This window comes from Homo sapiens, chromosome 17, assembly GCF_000001405.40.
Source record: "Homo sapiens chromosome 17, GRCh38.p14 Primary Assembly".
Classification (NCBI taxonomy): Eukaryota; Metazoa; Chordata; class Mammalia; order Primates; family Hominidae; genus Homo; species Homo sapiens.
Genome location: NC_000017.11, coordinates 29,215,369 through 29,221,368, shown reverse-complemented (window position 1 = coordinate 29,221,368; position 6,000 = coordinate 29,215,369). Strand labels below are relative to the sequence as shown.

The following is a 6,000-nucleotide window of genomic DNA, read 5'->3' as shown; positions in this document are numbered from 1 at the left end:
TTAGCCAGGCGTAGTGGCGGGCACCTGTAATCCCAGCTACTCAGGAGGCTGAGGCAGGACAATTGCTTGAACCCGGGAGGCGGAGGTTGCAGTGAGCCGAGATTTTGCCTTTGTACTCCAGCCTGGGAAACAAGAGCGAAACTTCATCTCAACAAAACAAACAAACAAACACACACAAAAACTTATTGTAGTGTTGATAGACACTTAGATATTTCCCCACTTGGAGGCTGTTATAAATAGTATTGCTATAAACATGCTTGTTTATGTTTTCTGGGTAACATATGTAAACATTTCTTTTGGGAATATACCTAAGAATAAATTGCTGGGCCATAAATATGTTCAGTTTTAGCAGACACTATCAAACAATTTTTCAAAGTTGTACTAGCTTGCAATCCCACCAACAGTGTGGAATAGTTTAGATGTCTATGCATCACATATTAGAGGATTCAAAACTGGAGGAAATCTTGTCTCTCAACTACAGTGGATCAAGAGTTTTTTCTTTTTTTTAGATGGGGTCTTGGTCTGTCACCCAGGCAGGAGTGGCTCACTGCTGCCTCCAACTACAGGGCTCAAGTGATCCTCCTGCGACAGCTTCCTGTATAGCTGGGACTACCGGTTCATGACACCATGTCTGGCTAATTTTTTTTTTATTTGGAGAGACAGGGGTCTCACTATGTTGTCTGGGCTAGTCTCCAACTCCTGGCCTCAAGTGATTCTCCCACCTTGGCTTCCCAAAGTGCTGGGATTACAGGAGTGAGCTACTGTGCCTGGCCTCAAGAATTATTCGTGTTCCTTTTTTTTTTTTTTTTGAGACGGAGTTTTGCTCTTGTTGCACAGGCTGGAGCGCAGTGGCGCGATCTCGGCTCACCGCAATGTCCACCTCCCGGGTTCAAGCGATTCTCCTGCCTCAGCCTCCCGAGTAGCTGGGATTGTAGGCGCGCACCACCACGCCCGGCTAATTTTTGTATTTTTAGTAGAGACAGGGTCTCGCCATGTTGGCCAGGCTGGTCTTGAACTCCCAACCTCAGTTGATCCACCCGCCTCGGCCTCCCAAAGTGCTGGGATTACAGGCGTGAGCCACCGCGCCCGGCCCATTTGTGTTCCTTTTTAAGGTGAATGAATTAAGGCTGGTGTTAGAACCCTGGTATATATAGTGTATACTTTATGGTATATAACTACAAAGTATTATATTTCAAAATACCTACAACTTTTTTGAACGTTTATCTTGTGCCAGGCACTAAGAGACCATTTCATCACACAAACCTTTGAGACAGGTGTTGTTATTATTCACATAGTTCAGGTGAAGCAGCTGCAGCTTAGAAAGATGAAATAACTGCTCCCGGGTCCCAGAGCCTGAAGTAACAGAGCTGGAACAGCCTGACTACAAAGCCTTGGAGCCCTGCAAATATACATGCTCCTGTGTTTCCTTCCCGAGGGTGGACTCAGCCTTTTTCAAAAAACTCTTTTTCAGCCTCCTAAAGACCTAAGATCAGAGCTATATGTTGCCAGATACGAATACTTAGACCAGGTGAAATTTGTCCAATTGCAGCTTGAAACTGATGCCTTTGTATCCACGGATGAAAATAGGTGAGCAGTCACCTTGAAAAATTCTGTCCCCAGAAGTCTTCTTTCTCTCCAATGTGCTGTGTATTACAATGGCTCAGTGCTGGCCCATAGTGGCACCTCAGTAATACTGGCTGAACGAAATTCTAGAAAAGTTCACAAATTTGTGCGGTTGACGGGACCCTGCTGGCTGTAGCGCCTAGCCTCTAATTTCTGACCACCAGGGGGCATACGTCCGTTTCCAGAGTACCCTTATTCCCAGCAGACTCCGGAAAGCGGGGTCCCTTGAGGACAGGGAGTCCCAAGGAAGGGAGGGATTGTGCCAGAAAACTCTGAATTGAGAAAAAAGGTACATTCGAACTGGGTTTTTTCAGAGAGTGGTCCGATAGCCACCAAACCATAATCACCTAGGGTGCATGGCTAAAATGCAAATTCCAGCTTGTTCACTTCAGGCCGAGAGAATCAGACTTTCTGAGGGTAGGGTATAGAAATCATATGTTAAGGCCTCCAGGCAATTCCCCCCCACGCTCATGGCTCTTTATTTGGACTACCTGTATTCAGTATTGTGTTAACTGTGTGACCTCAGGCAAGTCAATTAACCTAAGACTCAATATTGTCATATTAGGGGAACATAAAAACCTAACTCTCAGGTATGTTGTGAGTAATAAACGAATCAATCCATCTAGAGAGCTTAGAATGAAGCCCGGAAGGAAGCATATTAGCTCTTATACCTCTTAAGATATTATTATTATTATTATTATTATTATTATTATTATTATTATTTGGGACGGAGTCTTGCTCTGTCACCCAGGCTGGAGTGCAGTGGCACGATCTCGGCTCACTGCAAGCTCTGCCTCCCGGGTTCACGCCATTCTCCTGCCTCAGCCTCCCGAGTAGCTGGTACTACAGGCACCTGCCACCATGCCCGGCTAATTTTTTGTATTTTTAGTAGAGACGGGGTTTCACCATGTTAGCCAGGATGGTCTCGATCTCCTGACCTCATGATCTGCCCGCTTCGGCCTCCCAAAGTGCTGGGATTACAAGCGTGAGCCACCGCACCTGGCCTAATTTTTAATTTTTTTTGTAGAGATGGGGGTTCTTGTTATGCTGTCCAGGCTGGTCTTGAACCGCTGGGCTCAAATGATCCTCCTGCCTCAGCCTCCCAAAGTGTTGGGATTACAGGTGTAAGCCACCATGCGTGGCCAGCCTGGGCCTCAGTTTCTGCACATGTAAAATGAGGGAGTGGGACTAATTGGTCTGTGAGATCCCTTCCAGTGCTAATGTTTTATAAAAACTTCACAGGGGCCAGGTGCAGTGGCTCACACCTGTAATCCCCAGCACTTGTAGGAGGCAAAGTTGGGAAGATTGCTTGAGCTCAGGAGTTTGAGACCAACCTGGGCAACACAGCAAGATCCTGTCCCTACAAAAAATGTAAAAAATTAGGTGGGCATGGTGGCGGACATCTGTGGTTCCAGCTACGAGGGAGGCTAAGGCGGGAGGATCGCTTGAGCTTGGGAAGTCGAGGTTGCAGTGAGCCATGATTGCACCACTGCACTCCCACCTGGGCAACAGAGCAAGACCCTGTATCAGAAAACAAACAAATGGCTGAGCATGGTGGCTCATGCCTATAATCCCAGCACTTTTGGGAGGCTGAGGTGGGTGGCTCACTTGAGGTCAGGAGTTCGTGACCAGCCTGGCCAACAAGGTGAAACGCTGTCTCCACTAAAAATACAAAAATTAGCTAGGCGTGGTGGTGCATGCCTGTAATCCCAGCTACTTGGGAGGCTGAGGCACGAGAATTGCTCGAACCCGGGAGGTGGAGGTTGCGGTGAGCTGAGATCAAGCCACTGCACTCCAGGCTGGCCAACAAAGCAAGACTCTATCTTAAACAAACATGCCAACAAACAAAAAACCCAAAACTTCACAGGGTTTGAGGATCCTCCTGAACACACACACACACACAGACACACACACACACCACTTCCCTTCATCTATGTTCCTACAGCCCCTGTGTGGTTCATTCACCTCGAATTACATTGCTAACTCTCTTCCCTGCTTTTTTGAGGGTAGGGTCTGTGTGGTCTTCATCCCAGAGCCTGGCATGGTGCCTACCATATGGTTCCCGTGCAGTAAATATCATTTATACTGGAGAAAGTAGAAATGTAAAGTGTGACACAAAGGGGAGGAATGGGGATAATTTTTATTCCTAGTTGGTCTTTTGGGAAATAGTTGTTGGGAGTAGCTGGAGGGGCCTGGAGACCTAAGGAGGGCATTCTGGTGTATTGGGTGGACAGAGACCTTGGTGCAGGGAATGGGGAAAAAGAAGAGCAGTTTGGAGCAGAGGAGCTTACAGTGTGTTTCACCTCCCAGTTTCCTCCTGCAGTTGACCTGCTTTTTGGTGGTTGTTGTCGTTGTTGTTGTTGTTGTTGTTGTTGTTTGAGAGAAGTGGAAATGGGGTCAGGGCCCAGCCCAGTAGCCTGCAGAGGGTAGGCCTGCAAATATTTCAAATATTTAGCCATAGCATCTGAGAGCTAGAAGGAAACACAGAGGTTTGAGGCAGGCTTCTCATTTTTACAACTAAGTAGAAAAGTACAAGCCAGAAGGCAGTGTCCCTTGCCCATCAAGATGACACATCAGGTAGTAGTGGCGAAGGGAATGTGGGTCTGTCAACTTCCAACCCAGGGCCCTGCCCTGCACCCCGCTTCCTCCAACACTTTGTCTGGACAATGAATGACTTGCATGGGAATGTTTCAGAAAGCGTGGTCATGTCTTCACTAGTCTTTTGTTCCATCCAACCGTCTAGCTGCCTCCTGCATGAGTCCACCTGGATGGCCCCCCAGGCATTTGAAATACAGATAGGCAAAACTGAGCTTGTTACCTTCTCCTGAGTCTTCTGCTCCCCCCTTGTTTCTGCTGTCAGCAAAGAGTGCCACCATTTGTTATTGCATCGTCCAGATTAGAAATCTGGGTGCGCTCCTTGACTCCTACTTCTCCCTCGCCCCCCAATCACTCCCAATGCCTGTCAATCCCACCTCCTGCTCTCTCCATTTCATCCCCGTCTCCAGTACTGAGGCTCCAGTTCAGGGTCTCCTCACATCCAGGCAGGCTCCTCATCAGTCTCATTACACTCAGACTCTAGTCCCCAGCAGCTCAAAGTGTCACCTGCAGGCTGTTTGTAAAATACAAACCTGGTCAAATGTCGATTGAAGTCCTGTGCTTGGTGCTAAATGAATGATGATGAACAAGACAGATGGGGTCCAAGGGTTGACCAGGGGAAGGGTGATATGGACAAGTATATTCTAATTATAATATACCACAGTGAGGGTTGTGGCAGGGGAAGTGCGGAGTGAGATGTGAACCTCGGGGAAGGACAGCTCCTGAAACTGGTGTGTGGTATGAGTTCATGTGAGTAGATGAATACTCCTAACCTAGTGAGATTTCAACATTTACGTCTCTCCTTGTGTCTTGTGGGCCGCGTGCACTGTCATTGAGAGTATGTGTGTATGCATGTGCTTGTCTGTGCATATGTGTGTTTCTGTTGGGATTGCATTTGGCCGTGAGTGACAGACAACCAAGGGAGTGGTGGCTTTAACAAAATGGAAGTTTATTTTTCTCTGACTTAAGGTCCAGACCCAAGTGGTCCAGGATTGCTGTGGTGTCTTGTGTGTGTGTGTTTCTTTTTTTGAGACAGGGTCTTGCTCTGTCACCCAGGCTGGAGTGCAGTGGCATAATCACAGCTCACTGCAGCCTCCAACTCCTGGACTCAAGCCACCCTCCTGGCCTCAGCCCGTGAGAACCTGCGACTACAGGTTTGCGTCACCACACATGACTAATTTTTCTTATTTTTGGCAGAGATGGGGTCTTGCCCTGTTGCGCAGGCTGGTCTTGACTTCCTGGCCTCAAGTGGTCCTCCCACCTTGACCTTCCAAAGTGCTAGGACTACAAGCATGAGCAACTGCACCCAGCAGGTTGCAAATTCTTTGACACTTCTCTCATTGAGCAGTTGGTCAGTGAGAGACTCAGCCTCACTGAGCTATAAATAAAAGGTTCAATTACTATAGGAGAAAAAGAATCTCATATTAGGGGAAGGTTAGTAGTCTATGTCACAGCGTGTGTGTGTGTGTGTGTGTGTGTGTGTGTGTGTGTGTGTGTGTAAAGTTTCTAAGTGTTCTCTGTCCCTTCTCCTTAAATGTTGGTGGACTTGTGACTGCCTTGACCCAAACAGTAGGTCTATTAGCATAGGCAGAAGTGATGGCAAGTACCTTCTGAGGCTCAGTTGTAACAGGCCATAGAGCATCTACTTTGATCGCTGAAATACTTGCTCCCGAAGCCTGGGCTGCCATGTAAGAAAGTCCAACTCTCCCGAGAGCTGGAGAGGCCACATGTGGATGTTCCAATTCGCAGTTCTGGCTGAGCCTTCCAGCTGCCCCTGCCAGC

At 47.8% G+C, this 6,000-nt stretch overlaps 3 annotated features.

Annotated features, from left to right (window-relative positions):
* Nucleotides 1,669-1,758: a silencer, noted in NCBI's record as "silent region_8369". NCBI's record gives its function as "represses an Ori minimal core promoter by ATAC-STARR-seq in GM12878 lymphoblastoid cells {active_cell/tissue: GM12878}" and the evidence as "EXISTENCE:reporter gene assay evidence [ECO:0000049][PMID:35858748]".
* Nucleotides 5,243-5,292: an enhancer, noted in NCBI's record as "active region_11969". NCBI's record gives its function as "activates an Ori minimal core promoter by ATAC-STARR-seq in GM12878 lymphoblastoid cells {active_cell/tissue: GM12878}" and the evidence as "EXISTENCE:reporter gene assay evidence [ECO:0000049][PMID:35858748]".
* Nucleotides 5,353-5,452: an enhancer, noted in NCBI's record as "active region_11968". NCBI's record gives its function as "activates an Ori minimal core promoter by ATAC-STARR-seq in GM12878 lymphoblastoid cells {active_cell/tissue: GM12878}" and the evidence as "EXISTENCE:reporter gene assay evidence [ECO:0000049][PMID:35858748]".